Genomic DNA, 23,485 nt, shown 5'->3' with positions numbered 1-23,485 from the left:
TCTGATGGTTTAAAAGTATGGCACATCCCCACCTTGTGCTCTCTCATTCTGTCATGTAACATATACGTTGCTTACCCTTTACCTTCTGCCATGATTGTTAGATTTCTGAGGCCTCCCCAGGCATGCAGAACTGTGAATCAATTAAACCTATTTTCTTTATAAATTACCTAGTCTCAGGTAGTTCTTTATAGCAGTGTGAAAATTGACTGATATAGGAATTCTGTACCAGACGAGTGGAGCACTGCTATAAAGATACATGAAAATGTGGAGGCGACTTGGTAACTGGGTAACAGGCAGAGGTTGAAACAATTTGAAAAGCTCAGATGAACACAGGAAGATTTGGGAAAGTTTGGAACTTCCTAGAGACGTGTTGAATGGTTGTGACCAAAATTCTGATAGTGATATAAACAATGAAGTCCAGGCTGAGGTAGTCTCAGATAAAGATAGAAACTCACTGGAAATTGAAGCAAAGGTCACTCTTGTTATGAAAAAACACTAGTGGCATTGTGCCCCTTCCCCAAATATCCGTGGAACTTTGAACGTGAAAGAGGTTATTTAGGGTATCTGGAGTAAAAAGTTTCTAAGCAACAAAGCATTCAAAATATTGCCCGGCTGCTCCTAACAGTGTACAGTCATATGCATTCACAAACAGCTGGTCTGAAATTGGAACTTACGTTTAAAAGGAAAGTGGAGCATAAAAGTTTAAAAAATTTGCAGCTGACTTTGTGGTAGAAAAGAAAAACCCATTTTCTAGAAAGAAATTCAAGCCAGCTGCAGAAATTTGCATAACTAAAGAGAAGCTGAATGTTAATAGCCAAGACAATGGGGAAAATGTCTCCAAGGTCAGTCAGAGACATTCATGGCAGCCCCTCCCATCATGGGCAAAATGAACTTGTTTTGTCTCAGATGAGACACTGAACTTGAAACTTTGAGTTAATGCTGAAAGGAGTTAAGACTTTGATGAACTGTTGGGAATTCATAATTGATTTTGTAATGTGAGAAAGACATGAGATTTTTTTTTCCACTTTTTTTATTATTATTATACTTTAAGTTTTAGGGTACATGTGCACAATGTGCAGGTTAGTTACATATGTATACATCTGCCATGCTGGTGCGCTGCACCCACTAAGTCGTCATCTAGCATTAGGTATATCTCCCAATGCTATCCCTCCCCCTTCCCCCCACCCCACAACAGTCCCCAGAGTGTGATGTTCCCCTTCCTGTGTCCATGTGTTCTCATTGTTCAATTCCCACCTATGAGTGAGAATATGCGATGTTTGGTTTTTTGTTCTTGCGATAGTTTACTGAGAATGATGATTTCCAATTTCATCCATGTCCCTACAAAGGACATGAACTCATCATTTTTTATGGCTGCATAGTATTCCATGGTGTATATGTGCCACATTTTCTTAATCCAGTCTATCATTGTTGGACATTTGGGTTGGTTCCAAGTCTTTGCTATTGTGAATAATGCCGCAATAAACATATGTGTGCATGTGTCTTTAAAGCAGCATGATTTATAGTCATTTGGGTATATACCCAGTAATGGGATGGCTGGGTCAAATGGTATTTCTAGTTCTAGATCCCTGAGGAATCACCACACTGACTTCCAGAATGGTTGAACTAGTTTACAGTCCCACCAACAGTGTAAAAGTGTTCCTATTTCTCCACATCCTCTCCAGCACCTGTTGTTTCCTGACTTTTTAATGATTGCCATTCTAACTGGAGTGAAATGGTATCTCATTGTGGTTTTGATTTGCATTTCTCTGATGGCCAGTGATGGTGAGCATTTTTTCATGTGTTTTTTGGCTGCATAAATGTCTTCTTTTGAGAAGTGTCTGATCTTTGACAAACCTGAGAAAAACAAGCAATGGGGAAAGGATTCCCTATTTAATAAATGGTGCTGGGAAAACTGGCTAGCCAGATGTAGAAAGCTGAAACTGGATCCCTTCCTTACACCTTATACAAAAATCAATTCAAGATGGATTAAAGACTTAAATGTTAGACCTAAAACCATAAAAACCCTAGAAGAAAACCTAGGCATTAACCATTCAGGACATAGGCCTGGGCAAGGACTTCATGTATAAAACACCAAAAGCAATGGCAACAAAAGCCAAAATTGACAAATGGGATCTAATTAAACCAAAGAGCTTCTGCACAGCAAAAGAAACTACCATCAGAGTGAACAGGCAACCTACAAAATGGGAGAAAATTTTCACAACCTACTCATCTGACAAAGGGCTAATATCCAGAATCTACAATGAACTCAAACAAATTTACAAGAAAAAAACAAACAACCCCATCAAAAAGTGGGCAAAGGACATGAAAAGACATGAGATTTGAAAGAGGCCAGGGGTGGTAAGATATGGTTGGGCTCTATGTCCCCACCCAAATCTCATGTTGAATTGTAATTCCTGTGTCAGGGGAGGGACCTGGTGGGAGGTAATTAGATTATGGGAATGAATTTCCCCCATGCTGTTCTTATGATAGTGAGTTCTCACACTGTCTGATGGTTTTAAAGTGTGGCACTTTCCCCATTTCTTTCTCTCTCCTGCCACCATATAAGACATGCCTTGCTTCTGCTTCACCTTCTGCCATAGTTGTAAGTTTCATAAGGACTCCACAGCCATGTGAAACTGTGAGTCAATTAAACCACTTTTCTTTATAAATTACCCAGTCTCAGGTAGTCCTTTATAGCAGTGTGTAAACATACTAATACCGAAAAGATAAAGTCTTTCTCAGACAAACAAATGCTTAGAGAATTTGCCACTATCAAGCCAGCACTACAAGAAATGCTAAACGGAGTTCTAAATCTTGAAACAAAACCTTGAAATACAGCAAAATAGAACCTCCTTAAAGCATAAATCTCACAGGGCCTATAAACCATTACACAAGGAAAAAAAGATATTCAGGCAGCAAGTAGCACAATGAATAGAATGGTACCTCACATCTCAATACTAATGTTATATGTAAGTTGCCTAAACGCTTCGCTTAGAAGATACAGAATGACATAATGGATAAAAATCTACCAACAAAGTATCTGCTGTCTTCAAGAAACTCACCTAACACATATGGCCTCACATAAACATAAGGTAAAGGGGTGGAAAGAGATATTCAATGCAAATGAAAACCAAAAGCAAGCAGGAGTAGCTATTCTTATACCAGACAAAATAGATTTTAAAGCCTCAACAGTTTAAAAAGACAGAGAGAGACATTGTATAATGATGAAAGAATTAGCCAACAGGAAAATATCACAATATATATGCACCTAACACTGGAGCTCCCAAATTAATAAAACAATTTTAAAAAACAATAAAACAGTTACTACTAGGCCTAAGAAATGAGACAGATGGCAACACAGTAATAGTGGGAAACTAATACTCCACTGACAGCACTGGACAGGTCATCAAGACAGAAAGTCAAATAAGAAACAATTGACTTAAGCTATACCCTTAGAACAAATCAACTTAACAGACATTTACAGAACATTCTACCCAACAACTGCAGAATATATAATCTTTTTATCAGAACATGGAACACTTTCCAAGATAGACCATAAGATAGGCAACAAAAAAGTCTCAATAAATTTAAGAGTATCAAAATTATATCAGTACTCTTGCTGACCACAGTGGAAAAAAATTGGAAGCCAATACAAAAAGGAATGTTCAAAACTTTACAAATATGTGGAAATTAAATAATCTGCTCCTGAATAATCTTTGGATCAACAATAAAATTAAGATAGAAATTTAAAAATCCTTTGAACGGAATGATAATAGTGACACAACCTATCAAAACATCTGAGATACAGCAGAAGTGGTGCTAAGAGGAAACTTCATAGCATTAAATGCCTACGGCAAAAAGTCTGAAAGAGCTTGGCTTGGTTGCAGGGTAGTCCACGGCACACAAAATGGCAGATGGGAAGGTGGGAAGGAGAAGGCTGAAAAGATGCAGTGAGCTGGAGCCACTGGAGGACCTGAAGAAGAAGTGGAAAAAACGGTGAAAACTAAGGCTGTTTATTCCAGTAATGGAGGGAAAACTTCTGGTCGCAGCACTGAGAAGCCATCAGCCGAAAAAGAAGCAGCAGTCCTCCCAACAAAGCCTACAAAGATCAAGTTTAGATCTACCACAGGTAGTCACATGACAAAGAAAGCATCAGCCATATCCATCAAACTTAGATTAAGTAAGCCTAAAGAACCTGTTCTGTGTAACTAGTTCAACCATTGTGGAAGTCAGTGTGGCGATTCCTCAGAGATCTAGAACTAGAAATACCATTTGACCCAGCCATCCCATTACTGGGTATATACCCAAAGGACTATAAATCATGCTGCTATAAAGACACATGCACACGTATGTTTATTGCGGCATTATTCACAATAGCAAAGACTTGGAACCAACCCAAATGTCCAACAATGATAGACTGGATTAAGAAAATGTGGCACATATACACCATGGAATACTATGCAGCCATAAAAAATGATGAGTTCATGTCCTTTGTAGGGACATGGATGAAATTGGAAATCATCATTCTCAGTAAACTATCGCAAGAACAAAAAACCAAACACCGCATGTTCTCACTCATAGGTGGGAATTGAACAATGAGAACACATGGACACAGGAAGGGGAACATCACACTCTGGGGACTGTTGTGGGGTGGGGGGAAGGGGGAGGGATAGCATTGGGAGATATACCTAATGCTAGATGACGAGTTAGTGGGTGCAGCGCACCAGCATGGCACACGTATACATATGCAACTAACCTGCACAATGTGCACATGTACCCTAAAACTTAAAGTATAATAATAAAAGAAAAAAAAAAGAACCTGTTCCAACTCTTGCTTCAAAAATTCTTTTGGTAGCAGCAGGTTTTAATGAAGATGAAGGTAGTCAACCTGAGGCAATGCCTCCAGAAGCAAAGATGAGGATTAAAAATATTGGAAGAAATACATTAACATCAGCTGGACCAAACTCCTTCAATAAAAGAAGCGTGTGTTTTTTGTTAACCAAAAGCTATGGGAGCAAAATATAAAACCTCATCTTGGTGTAATGCCCATGACTACGACAATTAAATACTCTGTTTTGAAACTGCAGTGTGGGGTGGGTGTAAAGTTAAATGAAACAGTTTCCTTTTTAAAGACTGGTATAAGACTATCTTTGGAGCTGCTTTTCTTTTTCTTTTCCATTTTTTTTAAAGATTGAGTGATACACTAATAAATCAGAGTTTGAAATTAGTGATAATTTATGTTTTCTATATGGATTTCAAGAAATTTGCTAATATTGTAGTTTCATGTGGTTAGTTTCCACAGGTTACAGATGACAACAAAATCAGAAATGATACCTTTTTAAGAATTGCATTTTTTAGACACAACTATTAGCAAATTAAGAGAAAAGCAAAAAGTTATTGTCGATTTATAACTACAAGCAGTTACCTTCTTGGCTACCTTATTACCTAAACCGTCTGGCTCCCAAGAACAGCCTTATATATAGTACTGGGAGGAAAACGCTACTTAACTATTGACTGAAAGTAAATTTAGATAAAATACAGCTTTTTCCTTATGGGTATTTGTTTTGTTTCAAGTCATCATAAACTAGGTATTGCATTTCTGTCAGTGGATACAGAAGCTTAGCTCTTAAAAACTTTAAGTCAGGAAACAACAGGTGCTGGAGAGGATATGGAGAAATAGCAACACTTTTACACTGTTGGTAGGACTGTAAACTAGTTCAACCATTGTGGAAGTCAGTGTGGCAATTCCTCAGGGATCCAGAACTAGAAATACCATTTGACCCAGCCATCCCATTACTGGGTATATACCCAAAGGATTATAAATCATGCTGCTATAAAGACACATGCACACGTATGTTTATCGCGGCACTATTCACAACAGGAAAGACTTGGAACCAACCCAAATGTCCAACAATGGTAGACTAGATTAAGCAAATGTGGCACATATACACCATGGAATACTATGCAGCCATAAAAAATGATGAGTTCATGTCCTTTGTAGGGACATGGATGAAGCTGGAAATCATCATTCTCAGCAAACTATCTCAAGGACAAAAAACCAAACACCGCATGTTCTCACTCATAGGTGGGAATTGAACAATGAGAACACATGGACACAGGAAGGGGAATATCACACACCAGGGCCTGTTGTGGGGTTGGGGGAGGGGAGAGGGATAGCATTAGGAGATATACCTAATGTACATCGCGAGTTAATGGGTACAGCACACCAACATGGCACATGTATACATATGTAACAAACCTGCACATTGTGCACATGTACCCTAAAACTTAAAGTATAATAATAAAATTTTTTAAAAAATAGCAGTTTCTAGGCAAAGATAAAAAAACTTTTTTTAATATTTATGTAAACTGGGGTTGGGCGTGGTGACTCACACCTGTAATCCCAACACTTTGGGAAGCCAAGGTGGGCAGATCAGTTGAGGTCAGGAGTTTGAGACCGGCGTGGCCAACATGGTGAAACCCAGTCTACTAAAAATATAAAAATTATCTGCGCATGGTGGTGCGCACCTGTGGTCTAGCTACTCAGGAGGCTGAGCTGGAGAATCACTTGAACTCAGGAGGCAAAGGTTGCAGTGAGCTGAGATTGGGCCACTGCACTCCAGCCTGGAAGACAGAGCAAGACTCTGCCTAAAACACACACACACACACACACACACACACACACATGTAAACTGTTGAATATTTGAAATAGCCCACTTCACCTTAATCGGTCTTGTCTATCTTCATTAGTATTCAAAGAACAACCATTTGCTAAAAGTAAATCAATACTTTGAATGTGCTTTTCTTAGTTTTAATTAGCTAGTTCCTGTAAGCATTTCTACCAGAAATTGAGGCAAATTCTAAGAAAGCTGTTTATTTTAAAATACAAACCACCACCAAAAATTTAAATGTACATATTGCTTAAGTATTAGGCTGTGTTTATTTTTTAAATGGTATAAACACCGAAGAGAAAAATTTAACATTGTATGCAGATGGAAAACAAGAAGATGCACTTTCTGTAACTTTGTCTAAGGATTTAGATTACTAACTTGTGAAATTCAATTTGAATTAAACTTAACTACAGGCTTCTTACTAGTAAAATTGTATGGTTTATTTTAAATGTATATATTTTGATCACTTCTAGAAGATAACTTTGGAAAAATTCTTCTAGACATTGGCCTACGCAAAGAGTTCATAAGCAAGAACCCAAAAGCAAATGCAACAAAAACAAAAATAAATAGATTGGACTTAAACTAAAAAGCTTCTTCACAGCAAAAGAAATAATCAGCAGAGTAAACAGAAAATCCACAAAGTGGGAAAAAATACTCATAAACTATGTATCTGACAAGGGACTAATATCCAGAATCTACAAGGAACTCAAAACAAATAAGCAAGAAAAAAGCAAATAACCCCATCAAAAAGTGGGCTAAGGACATGAATAGATAATTCTCAAAAGAAGATACACAAATGGCCAACAAACATTAAAAAAAAGTTCAAAATCACTAATTATCAGAGAAATGCAAATCAAAAACACAATGAGATACCACCTTACTCCTGCAAGAATGGCCATAATTTAAAAATAAAAAAAAAATAGATGCTGGCATGAATATGGTGAAAAGGGAACACTTCTACACTGCTGGTAGGAATGTAAACTAGTACAACCACTATGGAAAACAATATGGAGATTTCTTAAAGAACAAAAAGTACATCTACCATTTGATCCAGCAATCCCACTACTGTAGTATCTACCCAGAGAACAAGGAGTCATTATATGAAAAAAACACTTGCATACACATGTTTATAGCAGCACAATTCACAGTTACAAAATTATGAAACCAGCCTAAATGCCCATCAACCCACGAGTGGATAAAGAAAATGTGATATATTTATATATACATATATATATACCACGGAATACTTCTCAGCCCTAAGAAAATGAAATAATTGCACTCACAGCAACCTGGATGGAGTTAGAGACCATTATTGTACATGAAGTAACTCAGAAATGGAAACCCAAACATTTTATATTCTCACTTATAAGTGGGAGCTAAGCTATGAGGGTGCAAAAGGATAAGAATAATATATTGGACTCTGGGGACTCAAGGGGAAGGTTGGGAGGTGGGTGAAGAATAAAAGACTACACAATGGGTGCAGTGTACATTGCTCGGTGATGGGTACACCAAAATCTCAGAAATCACCACTAAAGAACATAGGCATGTAACCAAACACCACCTGTTCCCCAAAAACTACTGAAATAAAAAATACTCTAAATAATCTTTAAAAAGTACAATACATAATTAAATGTTTCATTATATGCATTATCAAAACTAGGCTGGTCTATTTATAGAGAAATTGAGTATCTCACTATTTTGATTTGAAGATAGATGTTGGCAAACAAAGAATAATTATTGTTATCATTATTGTATAAATACTATAATGGCTCTATCATATGCTGAATGATCACTAAAATGGAAATAAAGAGTCAAAAAAAAGAAAAAACGAAAAAGAAAAAAAAAAAAGAAATACTGGCCAGGTGTGGTGGCTCACGCCTGTAATCCCAGCACTTTGGGAGGCCAAGGCAGGTGGGTCACCAGAGGTCAGAAGTTCAAGACCAGCCTGGCCAATATGGCAAAACCTGGTCTCTATTAAAAATACAAAAATTAGCTGGTCATGGTGGTGGGCGCCTGTAATCCCAGCTACTCAAGAGGCTGAGGCAGGAGAATCGCTTGAACCCAGGAGGTGGAGGTTGCAGTGAGCCGAGATCACACCACTGCACTCCAGCCTGGGCGACAGAGTGAGACTTGGTCCCCCTGCTCCAAAAAAAAAAAAAAAAACAGAGACAGAGGCTCAACTTCAGTAGAAAACACAGAAACATAAAACAAAGCAATGAATACCAAATTGTACCCATCCAATTGAAAAACATTAGAAAGTCATATAATACTAAGTGTTGGACATGATATGAAGATCTGAGAACCCTCAGACCCTGCAGATGCAAACCTACATTGTTGCCTACTCAAGGAAATCAAGAATGAGCACCCCAAGGAACCAGAAACCCCACTCCTAGGTGTACACCTCATATGTTCTCATACTAGTCCTTAGGAAGACACGTCCAAAGACGTAGCCAGGAGCTGAGTGTACACACAGAGAGATAAATGATGAATATATATGGCTAAATTGTAAAGAAATTCAAACAATGCAGAAACATATCATGAATACTAAAAAAAGATGAAGAATAAAAAATTAGAAATTTTGGAAGTAAATGACACATTTAGGAAATTACAAAATGCAATGGAAAATTTTAACAATACACTATACCAAAGAGAAAGAATTTCAGAGCTCAAAAAAGGTTTTTTAATTAGTCCAATTAGACAATAAATAAATAAATAAAAGAACAAAGTCTCCAAGAAATGTGGGACTATGTACAATTGCCAAACCTAAGAATCACTGGTGTTCTGAAGAAGAAGCAAAAACTTTGAAAAACTTGCTTGAGGAAATAATTGAGGAAAACCTCCCTGGCCTTGATAGAGATTTATACATCCAAATACAAGAGGGTCTAAGGGAGAAAAGAATTCTAAGAGCAGCAAGACAAAAGCATAAGGCAACCTATAAAGGAAAACCTATCAAACAGCAGACTTCTCAGCAGGAACCTGACAAGCCAGGAGGGATTGGGGTCCTAGCTTTGGCTTCCTTAAACAAAATAACTATTGACCAATAAATTTTTATCCAGCAATACTATGTTTTATAAATGGAGGAGAAATAAAGATTTTTCAAGCAAATGCTGAGGGCATTTGACACTACAAGACCAGCCCTACAAGAAATGCTAAAAGTTCTAAGGATTAAGACAAAAGGTCGATATGCACCAGAAGAGAACCTCTTGAATGCATAAAACTCACAGGGCTTATGAAAGAATAACACAATGAAGAAAACAATGTAACTAAGTAGCAATCAACATAATGACTCGAGTAGTACCTCACATCTCAATATTAATGTTGAATATATGTGATATAAATGCTCTTCTTAAAAGATACAGATTGGTGGAATGGATTTTAAAAATCACAAACTGATCTCTACTAAAAATACAAAAATTAGCTGGGTGTGGTGGTGCGTGCCTGTAGTCCCAGCTACTTGGGAGGCTGAGGTAGGAGAATCGCTTGAACCAGGGAGGTGGAGGTTGCAGTGATCCGAGATCGCACTACTGCACTCCAGCCTAGCAACAGAGCAAGACTCCATCTTAAAAAAGAAATTATAAACTGAGTATCTGCTGTCTTCAAGACACACACCTAACATGTAAGGATTTTTATAGACTCAAGGTAAAAGGGTGGAAAACAATATTCCATGCAAAAGACAACCAAAAGTGAGCAGTAAGTCCTATTATTATATCAGATGAAGCACATTTTAAAGCAGCAACGGTAATGATAATAATAAGAGAATCAATCCAACAAGAAAATATTACAATCTTAAATATGTATGAACCTACCTCGGGAGTTCCCAGATTCATAAAACTATTACTACTTGACTTGAGGAGATCAGTAGACAGCAACACAATAACAGTGAGTGACTTTAAGACTCCACTGACAGCACATGGCCAGGCGCGGTGGCTCACGCCTGTAATCCCAGCACTTTGGGAGGCCAAGGCAGGCAGATCACGAGGTCAGGAGATCAAGACCATCCTGACTAACACGGTGAAACCCCATCTCTATTAAAAATACAAAAAAATTAGCCAGGCGTGGTGGCAAGCACCTGTAGTCCCAGCTACTTGGGAGGCTGAAGCGGGAGAATGGTGTGAACCCGGGAGGCGGAGCTTGCAGTGAGCCGAGATCGCGCCACTGCACTCCATCCAGCCTGGGCAACAGAGCGACACTCTGTCTCAAAAAAAAAAAAAAAAAAAAAGACTCCACTGACAGCACTAGACAGATCATCATGGCAGAAATTCAACAAAGAAACACTGAATTTAAACTGTACTCTAGAACAAATGGACTACACAGATATCTACAGAACATTCTATCAATAACTGCAGAATATACCTTCTTCTCGTCAGCACACGGAACATTCTCCAAGATTGAGCATACAACAGGACACAAAATAAGTCTCAATAAATTTTTAAAAATCAAAATCATTTAGAGTATCTTCTCAAACCACAGCGGAATAAAACCAGAAATCAATTACATAAGGAACCCTGAAAACTATACAAATACATGAAAATTGAACAATCTGCTCCTGAATAATTTTGGGGTTAATAAAATCAAGATGTAAATTTTAAAATTCTTTGAAATTAATGATAACAGTGATGCAACTTATCATAACTCCTGAAATAAAGCAGAAGCCATGCTAAGAAAAAAGTTTACAGCACTAAATGCCTACAGCAAAATATCTGAAACCTCACAAATTGACAAACTTACAACACATCTCAAGGAACTAGAGAAAGAAGAACAAACCCAAAGCTAGCAGAAGAAAAAAAAATGACAAGGATCAGAGCAGAACTAACTGAAATTAAAAATAAAAAATAAAAAACACAATACCAAAGATCAATGAAACAGAAAACTGTTTTTTGAAAAGACAACATCAATAGACTATTAGGTAGATTAACCCAGAAACAAAAAGAAAAGATTCAAATAAGCTTAATGGAAAATGAAAGTGAAGACTTACAACCAACAGCACAGAAGTATAAAAAATCCATCTGAGATTATTATGAACACCTCTATGCACTCAAACTAGAATATCTGGAGAAAATGAATAGATTCCTGAAAACATACATCCCTCCTAGCTTGAATCAGAAATAGAAATCCTGAACAGACCAATAGCAAGCAGTGATATTGAATCAGTAATACAGAATTTGTCAGGAAAAAAAAAGCCCAAGGCCAGATGGATTCACATGCAAATTCTACCCAACATTCGAAGAATTGGGTACTACTGAAACTATTTCAAAAGACTGAGAAAGAGCAAATATGCCCTAATTCATTCTATGAAACCAGTATCTCCCCAATACCAAAGCCAAGAAGGGACATGATAAGAAGAAGAAAACAACACACCCATATCCCTGACGAACATAGATGCAAAAATACTCAACAAAATACTAGCGAACCAAATTCAACATTGAAAAGTTAATTAGCCATTATCAAGTGAGTTTTATCCCAGGGATGCAGGGATGGTTCAACACATGCAAGTCAACAGATTCAGAAAAAGCATTTGATAAATTCCATCATCCCTTTATGTTAAAAACCCTCAACAAACTAGGTATAGAAGGGACGTACCTCAAGATAATAAAAGCCATACATAAAAAACCCCGCAGCCAGCACTATACTGAATGAGGAAAAATTGAAATCATTCCCTGAGAACAGGAATGCAACAAGGATGCCCACATTCAACACTTTTATTCAACATAGTACTGGAAATACTAGCCAGAACAATCAGATAAGAGAAAGAAATAAAGGGCACCCAAACTGGAAAAGAGGAAGTCAAACTACCTCTGTTTGCTGATATGATTGTATACCGAGAAAACCCCAAAGACTCCTCCAAAAAATCTCCTAGGTTTGATAAATGAATTTAGTAAAGTCTCAGGTTATAAAATCAATATGCATAAATCAGTGGCACTGCTATACACCAACAACGACTAAGCTGAGAATCAAATCAATAACTCACTTCCTTTTGCAACAGCTGGAAAAAATAAAATGAAATACATAGGAGTATTAACCAAGGAGGCGAAAGAAATCATAGATGACACAAACAAATGGAAATATATCCTATGCTCATGTGGTGAAGAAGAAACACTTACACACTGCTGGTGAGAACATAAATTAGTAAAACTTTTTATGGAAAGGAGTATGTAGATTTCTCAAATAACTAAAAGTATATCTACCATTTGATCCAGCAATTCCATTACTAGATATCTACCCAAAGGAAAAGAAGCCATTATAATGGAATACTATGCAGCCATAAAAAATGATGAGTTCGTGTCCTTTGTAGGGACATGGATGAAACTGGAAATCATCATTCTCAGCAAACTATCGCAAGGACAAAAAAACCAAACACAACATGTTCTCACTCATAGGTGGGAATTGAACAACGAGAACACATGGACACAGGAAGGGGAACATCACACTCCGGGGACTGTTGTGAGGTAGTGGGAGGGTGGAGGGATAGCATTAGGAGATATACCTAATGCTAAATGATGAGTTAATGGGTGCAGTACACCAACATGGCACATGTATACATATGTAACAAACCTGCACATTGTGCACATGTACCCTAAAACTTAAAGTATAATAATAATAAAATAAAAGAAAATAAAAAGAAAAGAAATCTGCACATGTATGTTTATTGCAGCACAATTCACAACTGTGAAGACATGGAACCAACCTAAGTGCCCATCAACTGATGAATGAATAAATAAAATGCCATATATATATATATATATGCACACACACACCCCAAGGAATACTACTCAACCATAAAAAAGAATGAAATAATGTAATTTTCAGCAACTTGGATGAAACTGGAGGCCATTATTCTAAGTGAAGTAACTCAGGAATGAAAAACCAAACACCATATGTTCTCACTTATAAGTGGGAACTAAGCTATGTGTATGCAAGGACATACAGAGTGGCTTAATGGACACTGGAAACCCAGAAGAGGGGAGAGTTGGAGGAGGATTAGGGACAAAAAACTACATATTGGGTACAATGCACAGTACTTGGGTGACAGGTGCACTAAAATCTCAGACTTCCCCACTATATAATTCATCCATGTAACCCAAAATCACTTGTACCCCTATCACTATTGAAATTTTTAAAAAGAACCAAAAAATAAAATTAAAAATTAAGAAAAAGAAATAAACAATCTGAATAGGGCTATATCTATTGATGATATTGAATCAATGACTAATAACCTTCCAAAACAGAAATCACCAGGCCCTGATGGGTTCACTGGTGAATTCCACAAAACGTTTAAGGAAGAAATTATACCAATCCTGTACAATCTCTTTCAAATTATAGAAGCAGAGGAAATACTTCCTAACACATTCTATCAGGCCAGCATCACCCTAATACCAAAAACCAGGCAAAGACACTACAAGAGAAGAAAACTATAGATCAATATCTCTAATGAACATAGATGCAAAAATTCTCAAAAAAATACTAGCAAATCAAACCCAATGTATAAAAATAAGTATAAACCTCAATCAAGTGAGATTTATTCCAGGTATACAAGGCTGGTACAACATTAGAATATCAATTAATGTAATCCATACCATCAACAGGCTACAGAAGAAAAATCACATGATCATATCATTAGATGCAAATAAAACATCTGACAAAATCCAACATCTATTCATAATTTTTTTAAAATTTTAGAAATCTTAGGAAATGAGGGGAACTTCCTTAATGTAATAAGAATTTCTATTTTAAAAGCCCTGTAACTAACATCATGTTTAATGGTAAGAAAATAGAATCTTTCCCATTAAAATCAGGAACAGGGCAAGGATGTCCATGAGCAAGGATGACCCTCTTGTCATCCTTTCAATAACATACTGGACGTCCTAGCTAATGCAATGAGACAAGAAAATGAAACAAAAGGAATACTAATTTGGAAGGATGAAATAACATTGTTTTTGTTCATCAGTTACATGATTGTTTATGCAGAAAATCTGAAAGAATCAACGGAAAAGCTGGAGCTAATAAGCAATTATAGGAAAGTCGAAGGACACAAGGTGAATATACAAAAGTCAATCAGTTTTCTATAAAGCAGCAATGAACAAGTGGAATTTGAAATTACTAACACAATCCCATTTACATTAGCACGAAATACTTAAGTGGAAATCCCATTTACATTAGCATGAAATACTTACGTGGAAATCTAACAAAATATGTAGAAGATTTATATGAGGAAAACTACAAAATTCTGATGAAATCAAAGAAGAACTACATAAATGGAAAGGTGTTCCATGTTCATGGATAGGAAGACCCAATATTATCACGATGTCAGTTCTTCCCAATCCATAGATTCAATGCAATCCCAATCAAAATCCCAGCAAATTACTTTGTGGATATCAACAAACTCGTTCTAAAGTTTTTATGGAGAGGCAAAATAACCAGAACACCACAATATTGAAAAAGAACAATGTTAGAGGACTGACACTAGCCAATTTCAAGACTTACTATAAAGCAACAATAATCAAGACACTGTGATATTGATGAAATAATAGACAAACAGATCAGTGGAAAAAATAGAGAACCTGGAAATAGAAATAGACCTACATAAATAAAATCTCCTGATCTTTGACAAAGGGGTAAATGCAATACCATGGAGAAAAGACCTTGTTTGTTTTGTTTTGTTTTGTTTTGTTTTATTTTGTTTTTAAAGACGGAGTCTTGCTCTGTCTCCCAGGCTGGAATGCAGTGATGCAATCTTGGCTCACTGCAACCTCCACCTCCTGGGTTCAAGCAATTTTCCTGCCTCAGCCTCTTGAGTAGCTGGCATTACAGGCGCATGTCATCACACCTGGCTAGTTTTTGTATTTTTAGTAGAGACAGGGTTTCACCATGTTGGCCAAGCTCGTCTCGAACTCCTGACCTCAGGTGATCCACTGGCCTCGGCCTCCCGAAGTGCTAGGAAGGATCATCATTTTTACAAATGGTTCTGGAACAAATGGATATCCACATGCAAAAAATATAAATCTAGACACAGACCTTACACCCTTCATAAAAATTAACTCAAAATGGATTACACACCTAAATATAAAACACAAAACTGTATAACTCCCAGAATGTAACATATGTGAAAATCCAGATAACCTTGGGTTTGGTGATGGCTTTTTAGATGGAACACCAAAGACACAATCCATGAAAGAAAGAATTAATAAGCTGGACTTCATTAAAATAAAAAAGTTGCTCTGCTAAAGACACTATCAAGAGAATAAAAAGGCCACATGCTGAAAGAAAATATTTGCAAAAGACACATGATAAAGAGCTGTAATCTAAAATACACAAAAATTATTTAAAATTAAACAATAAGAAAGCAAGCATCTCAAAAAAAGGGCTAAAGACCTGAACAGACACCTCACCAAAGAAGATATATAGATGGCAAATAAACATACAAAAAGATGCTCCACACTATATGTCATCAGAGATGTGCAAATTAAAACAATGAAATACCACTACAGACTTTTCCAATGGCCAAAATCCAGAACACTGGCCTCACCAAATTCTAGCAAGGATGTAGAGCAACAGGAACTCTCAGTCATTTCTGCTGGAAACACAAAATAGTACAGCTACTTTTGAAAACACTTTGGCAGTTTCTTACAAAACTAAATATACTCTTACCACATGATCCAACAATCTCAGTCCTTGGTATTTACCCAAATAAGGTGAAAACCTACGTCCACACAAAAACTTGCACATGGATGTTTATAGCAGCTTTATTCATAACAACCAAAATTTGGAAGCAACCAAGATGTCTTTCAGTGAGTGAGTGTATAAATAAACTGTGGTACATCCAGAAAATGGAATATTATTCAACACTAATAAGAAATGAGTTATCAAGCCATGAAACGACATGGAGGAATCTTAAATGCATATTACTAAGTGAAAGAAGCCAATCTGCAAAGGTTACATACTGTATCATTCCAACTATATGACATTCTGGAAGAGGCAAACTATGGAAACAGTAAAAAAAAACAAAAAAAATCAATAGTTTCCAAGAGTTGTGGAGAGGGAGAGATGAACAGGTAGAACACAGAGGAGTTTTAGGGCAGCAAAAATATTCTATATGAGATTGTAATGGTGGATACAAGTCATTATATATTCATCCAAACCTACAGACTGTACAACACCAATAGTGAATGCTAATAGAAACTATGGACTTTGGATGATAAATATATGTTGATGCTGATTCACAGATTCTAACAAATGTACTACTCTGGTGGGGGATGTTGATAATGGAGGTGGCTATGCATGTGGTGGTAGGGGTTATATGGGAAATCTTTGAACCTTCCTTTCAATTTTGCTGTTAATCTAACATTGCTCTAATAAATAAAGTCTTTAAAAATAAATTTAAATAAATGTAGGCTTTGCATGCTATATGACCTATGTCACAACTACTCCAACTCAGCATTGTACAAAACAGCCATAGACTACAAATTGACATGAATGTGTTCCAATAAAACTTCATTCATAAAAAGTCAGTGGGCCATATTTGGCCCATAGGCATAGTTTGCCAATCCTTGATGTATACACTTGAACATGGTTTGTCTCTCTGGTTCTTGGCCCTCCATGCTCCTTTGGGTGTGAGCTATCCCTGTCATAAGCCCCCCGGCCCCAGACTATTTGATTAGTGATCGGGCTACCTTAGAAGAGGAAGACTTAGGCAAAATTAATCATGTCAAAACGTGAAAGTTATCAACTTCCCCCACGAACTCTGCTCTTCTCACAATAGCCCCTATCATAGTGATTGGCAACATTGTTCATTCAGGCATTGAAGTTAGAAATCTGGCTGTTAGCTTTAACTTATCTCACTCCTCACCTGCCAACTGGTTGACAAATTCTGTTGATTTCCCCAAACACTATTACATCTTTCCCCTCCTCTCCTTCCCTTCATAGCCTGGCTTAGGCCTAGGCTCTTACCATCTCTTGGTTAGAGTACTGTTAATATCTTCCAGCAAAAGCGGGCTACTTGCAGTCCCCCAAGTATGTTGTGCTGTTTCGCATACATTTGCCACTACATATTTCCTTTTGCCTGGAATCCCCTCCTCCCTTAAATCCTGCTCCCATCTCTTATCTTCCTGGTGAAATCCTAGTCATTATTCAAAACCCAACTGGGACTTTCCCTTTCACACTTAATCATTGCCTCCTCAAGGCTACTTGGTTTAAATAGTATACCCTTGACAATCCCAATATACATGTTCCACAAGCCCCGAATTATGAATATTGGAAAATTTAAGTATACATGTCAGAAACTTAGGGCTCAAATAATTAACTAGGCTACTAAATATTGTAACTAAAATGAACTCTGCATTTCATTGCATCATGAATTTAGTAACATCAACCATAAAATTAGCTTAATCTGAAAAGAAACAATAAATCTTTTATCACTTCAGGTAATTTACTGCATATATAACCATAAATAAAGAACAGAGATCAACCTCGTAGAGACACTTGCTCCCACACAGTAGTCACACAGAATGTGAATCACACATGCATCTCAGCAAAATCACAAATTTCTCCATGTAAAAGACCTTTGGGAAAAACAGTGAGTGTCAAATCCATAAATGCCAAGAGCCTGCTGTACTTCTATTATTGTACTTGTGTCAATGAACAACTACAGCCCCAATGAGAACATGAGCTTCTTGGGGTCAGGCCCACTATTTTGTCATTCTTTTTGTACCAAAGTTGATCTAACAGGAAGCAACCACTCCAAAAACATTTGTTGAATTAAATTACCTCCTAATTGATCTTCCTACTTCAAGGCCATCTTCCTTTCCAAAATCCTGCCAGTTATTTCACAAAAACATATCCCTGATGTCACTCCATTTCCCCCAAACCTTTGATGGCTCTTCATAATCTGCTTTACATGATTATGTCCCCATGCCATGCTAGGACATATAAGAGCCTTCACACCATGGCCTCATACTCCCAGTCTCATTCTTAGCCTCTCTTCTTCACAAACACTCTTCAAGCCACACTAGCTGCTCCTGGAACATTTTTGGACTTTCATTACTCTATGACTTTGTAAATGCTGTTTCCTCTGTCTAAAAGGTCCTCCTCCTCTCATCTGCCTGGAAAACCTGAATTTATTAATATAGCTCAGCTTAAATATCGCTACCTTTGTAGCTTTCCCTGACCCCTCTCAGAATCAGTCTCCCTCATTTGTTTTTTTATACCAATGTGTTTGTTCTAAAAACATACTAAGCTGATTCTGCGGGGAGGGAAAAGGGAAGGAGGGAGTGCCCTGTCAAAGGACTTACCCAAGCAGCGACTGCGGCACTACGTGTTAAGCATATTGTTCAAGCAGCAGTGGGAGGATGGAGCTGGATGGCCTTCATGTTACGAGATGCTATGGCTCGCATCTTTCACACTGCGTGTGTGTGTGTGTGTGTGTGTGTGTGTGTGTGTGTGTGTGTGTAACTGTGGGGGGGGGTAGCAGGGGGAGAGAAAGAGAACGAAGGGAGACAGAGAGACTGAGACAGAAACAAAGAGGGCGGACGCAGTGCAGTAAGAGCAGATGGGCGGACCCAAATTTCTTCGGCTTCACGATTTTGCGGAGGTCTAGCCCTGCATCCAGCCTTGAAACAGGGTGGGGAGGAGGCAGAAAGGGGAGGGACTGCACTCCCTCTGAGCGTGCTAGCTCCGACTGCCTGACGGATCACCCTTCCGCTCCAACATGGCTAGTTCCTCAACGCCGTGACTCAAGCCTGTTGTGCCAGGCAGGGCGCACTCAGCAGCGCAGCCCCACAGGTGGCGAAGGCTCCGCGAGAGGGTTCCCGCCAGGCTAGACAGTGGAGTGCCGCACAGCGCGCCTTCCAGCCTCGCAGCCGCCACCCTAGCGGTTCCGACCCGGCGCCAGCAGGCCTGCTTGGTCGATCTTCGAGCCAAAGATGCGGCGAGGCTGGAAGATGGCTCTGTCTGGGGGGCTGCGGTGCTGCCGCCGGGTACTGTCCTGGGTGCCAGTGCTCGTTATTGTCCTCGTCGTGCTCTGGTCCTACTATGCCTACGTCTTTGAACTCTGCCTGGGTAAGTGGGGCTGGGCACCTAAGGTGGGGAAATTATACTCCAATATAATCGTTTGCCCTACCTTCACACTGGTGTCCCTTGTGTTCTCAAGCCTTCTCTCTGCGGTTTTCCTTTCTCTCCCTGGAGAGTTCCTTGTCCCCAGCCTCTGGCTTCCCACAATATTTCCTGCGCCCTCCCACCAGGGTCCCGCCGTGTCTCCATCGTCTCCCACCTAGGGTTTCTTATTTCTTTGCCCTACCCACAATAATGTCCTGGCTCTTCCCACGAGGGCTCCCTTTTCTCATACAGGGCAACCATCTGCACCTTGTGCTCTCCTTCTGGGAGCCCCTACTGTACCAAGTTGAGGAAACAACATACCCTGTGTCTTTAAACTGTTTGCTCACACTAGGAATCTCACCAATGCATCCAACTAGGAGCCCCACCATTTTCCCTCCTACTAGAATCCTACTAGGATTTCCTACTAGGGATTTCCTACTGAGAGTTCCAAAATATTTCCTCTACTCTCTTACTAGCTCTCCTTTTTCACACACTGGAATCTATCGTTTTCCCGTGATCCTCTCACACTGGCTGAAGTGCTTCATATCTTTGTCCACTTGTGATCCCACAGTGCACCCTATTCTACTCCATTAAGATCTTCCGTTTTCACACAGTGGTAAGCCCTCCATTCTCTTTCCCTGTGGGCTCCCCCCATTTAATCATTTTCTTTAATGGGATTGGTATTCTATAATACATCCTCTCTCACATGAGAGGCCCTGATTATATTATACTGGAGTTCCCTCCAGTCTCCTGCCTTCTTGCTTTGAGGAGCATTCGACTCCTTCCCATTAGGAGCCCCACATTATTTTCTGACACCTTATACTGGTGACCCTGCTATTGTCACATGATGATAGTGCCTTCTCCCACTAGAGTCACCTCTTTTACCCTCCCACAAGGGTTTCCGTAATTTATCTCCTATTCCATCAAAGGGCCGCTACTTTTCTAATCATTATTCCTCGTTATCTTTTTTAGGAAACCCACTCCCCACCTCCCACAGTGTTCTTTCACTTTTAGCCCCACATTCTGCCATCCACTTCCTTTGGGATTTCTTATTATTATTTCTTCTTACTTCTCATTGGATTGCACTTGTCCCATCTTCTCAAACTGGGGAAACCCCATTCTTTCTTACTGGGGTTTCTAATATTTTCTACTCCTCCCAATGGGCATATCATTTCTCATTCCCTCTCATTAGACTACCCCTTTTATAATTCTATGATCTTTTTTTACCCTGTCCTGTCACACTAAGGAGCACTCTATATCCTCCTTATTTGCAAAATGGTTCTCACAGTATAGCTTGTGCATTCAAACTCAGAATTCTACAATATTTCCCGACACAAACCCCAAGTCTCTCCCTTATATTATTCCCACTTTCCACTTTAATTCCCCCCGTTCCCCATTCTTATTATTATTGGCCTTGCAATGCTCTCATCAACTCACAATGGCGTTTTCATATTATATCCTGTCTTGTTACAATAGGGTCCCTGCTTTTCTCACAGTAAAATCTCCCCTTGTCCCTGTCTTCTCACATTGAAGAATCCCTGTCTCCTCTCAAAAGAGATTCCACTAATACTTGTCAGTCTTGTCACTTCGACACTGTAATTCCATCGCCAGCACCCTTAAACTTGTGGCCTACAATGTTCCCTATTCATCTAGTTTGGGGCTCCAATATGTTTATACTCCTCTCACAGTAGGACTCCTGACCCATTGGACATCCCCTCACTCCCAAGTCCTTCTGAGACTTCTTTATTTTTTCATACCAAACTCTTCTCACCTTAAAAATGATGGTAAGGATGCTGCTTTTTTGAACTCCGGGACCTGACTCCATTTGTAATTTTCTTCTGTTACATATTTGCAAAGCAATAGTCTACCCCAGGTAGACTGGGATAAACTAGGGAGGCAGGAGATGATCCTCTTTTCCAATATAGAACTTTCTATATTCTAATTCTATAATTTCCTATATTCTAATTCTAATTACCTCTCTGAATCACAATTGGAATTTTTTTTACCTCTTCCTTAGAGATATTATGGAAAATGCAGAAAGAGCTCTTAAAATAAATGTCATTAGTTGCCTTCATAGATACAAGTTAGCCTAGTTTTCTTTTGTATCTCAATCCAGTATTGGGATGCATTAAGTAGACTATGCAATGACTGGGAAGCTTTTCTATTCTCAGACCTTACTACTTTGGCTTTTTGAATGATTGATTGAAGGGTCAAAAGTTCAGCACCATTATTATGGTATGGACATTGCTCCTAGGATCAATGCCATATTGTAAACAACTTATTTTGGAGTTTTTCAGTATTGACTCATATGAGCTTCACCAAGATATATTTTAAAAATTAATGATGATAATGACTAACACTTATGTATTGCTTACTCTGTGCCAGAAAATGTTCTAAGTTCTGTAGATAGATTAACTATATATTAATTCATTTAATCATCACAATAACTATATGAGGCAGGTACCATTACTGTTTCCATTGTACAAATGTGTAAACTGAGGCACAGATGAGCAAACCAAGGTAAAGACCAAGTTACTGCAAATAATTGGCCTTCTATAAGTTCTTCTTTAGTCATGTAATATTAACAGATGAAAGGAAGCGTAGGACTTATTTGTTTGTTTTAGTTAACATACTTGCACCACACTGCTACATGCCAAGTACTATTTCTAGGTGACTACACACACAGACACTTAATCTTTATAACAACTTTCCAATGTATATACTATCATTACTTGTTTGTAAACTGAGGAACAGACAGAATAAGTAGCTTACCTAAGGTCACAGAGCTAGTAAATGGCCAAACTTAAAACCCAGGCAGTATGTTGCCACAGTCTCCTCTAAACTAATGCAGAGGTAAAAACTTTGTGACATACAAGCCAGATGTAGCCTTCAGATATATTTTGCCTGGCCTGCACAGTGTTTTCTTAACATTTTGCATCAGTTCCCATTATTTAAAAGTCAGGAGAATAAGGCAGCTTTGACTTTCAACTCTGGCTGAACCAGTCCCTCCTGCCATCATCAGTTTAACAATCTTGTAACAAATTAGCAACCTGGGTTTTGGAAAGGTTAAATCAAATTTTCCTAAGGCCACACATTTAGTAATAGTGAAGAGTTGGAAATCCAGGCTGCCTGATACCAAGGCCATACCTTTTCCAACACAAATAAATTAACAAATTTGCATTTCAATATGTCTCAAAAAGTAACATTAAGGACCTAACTTCTTTCCAGGGATAAAACCTGATGTCTTTCTCCCTAACGTTACATTAGAGCTGAAACCAAAAGAGATGTTTTTGTCCTTTAATTCTTAGAGTTTGAATTCTGCCATTTACTAGCCTGGAGACCTGGGGCAAGTAACTTCACTCTCTCAACCTCAGTTGTCTCACATGTACCTTGCTTCTACAGTTGTTCATCCATATGACAAATGGTTGCTTAGCACTCAGTATATGCCAGGTATTACTGCTGTGAGGCTCAAATAACATGATGCCTGAAAAGCATGCATCACAGTTCACAACACATTATAAGAGCTCATTAGATAGTAACTTGTGATTAGTAAAGAAATAAAGGATTCTTCCTGACCCAGGAAAATAAGAAGCTTAGCTTTTTAGAGAGGAGGGAAAGTAACAGTATCCATTTTATTGGGGTGAAATTTATATAACATAAAATTAACCATTTTTAAGTGTTCGCCTCAGTGCCATTTAGCACTCACAATGTTGTGCAGCCATCACCTC

The 23,485-nt window shown here is 38.3% G+C and overlaps 1 protein-coding gene, 1 long non-coding RNA gene and 1 pseudogene across 22 annotated transcripts in view, besides 1 other annotated feature; 2 read left to right on the top strand and 1 right to left on the bottom strand.

Moving 5' to 3' along the window:
• The window catches only part of LOC107985664 (uncharacterized), a 270,484-nt gene extending 251,001 nt beyond the window's left edge, over window positions 1-19,483 (bottom strand). For all 10 annotated transcript variants that reach the window (XR_007068273.1, XR_001755894.2, XR_007068272.1 and 7 more), the window contains exon 1: window positions 18,956-19,483. This is a non-coding gene — a long non-coding RNA (uncharacterized LOC107985664). The remainder of the gene's footprint in view (window positions 1-18,955) is intronic.
• On the top strand, window positions 4,813-5,261 carry PCNPP4 (PEST containing nuclear protein pseudogene 4; annotated as a pseudogene).
• Window positions 19,281-19,360: an enhancer, noted in NCBI's record as "active region_29774". NCBI's record gives its function as "activates an Ori minimal core promoter by ATAC-STARR-seq in GM12878 lymphoblastoid cells {active_cell/tissue: GM12878}" and the evidence as "EXISTENCE:reporter gene assay evidence [ECO:0000049][PMID:35858748]".
• ZDHHC15 (zDHHC palmitoyltransferase 15) overlaps window positions 19,573-23,485 on the top strand; it is a 154,611-nt gene continuing 150,698 nt past the window's right edge. For all 12 annotated transcript variants that reach the window (XR_001755658.3, XR_938393.3, XR_007068181.1 and 9 more), the window contains exon 1: window positions 19,573-19,721. Coding sequence is in view for 9 of the 12 variants with exons in the window: in NM_001146256.2 (NP_001139728.1) it covers window positions 19,586-19,721 (136 nt within the window). In the remaining 3 variants the exon portion in view is untranslated. The remainder of the gene's footprint in view (window positions 19,722-23,485) is intronic.

The sequence above is a fragment of the Homo sapiens genome, chromosome X, assembly GCF_000001405.40.
Source record: "Homo sapiens chromosome X, GRCh38.p14 Primary Assembly".
Classification (NCBI taxonomy): domain Eukaryota; kingdom Metazoa; phylum Chordata; class Mammalia; order Primates; family Hominidae; genus Homo; species Homo sapiens.
The sequence above is the reverse complement of the archived record's forward strand: the minus strand, read 5'-3'. Positions and strand labels throughout refer to the sequence as shown.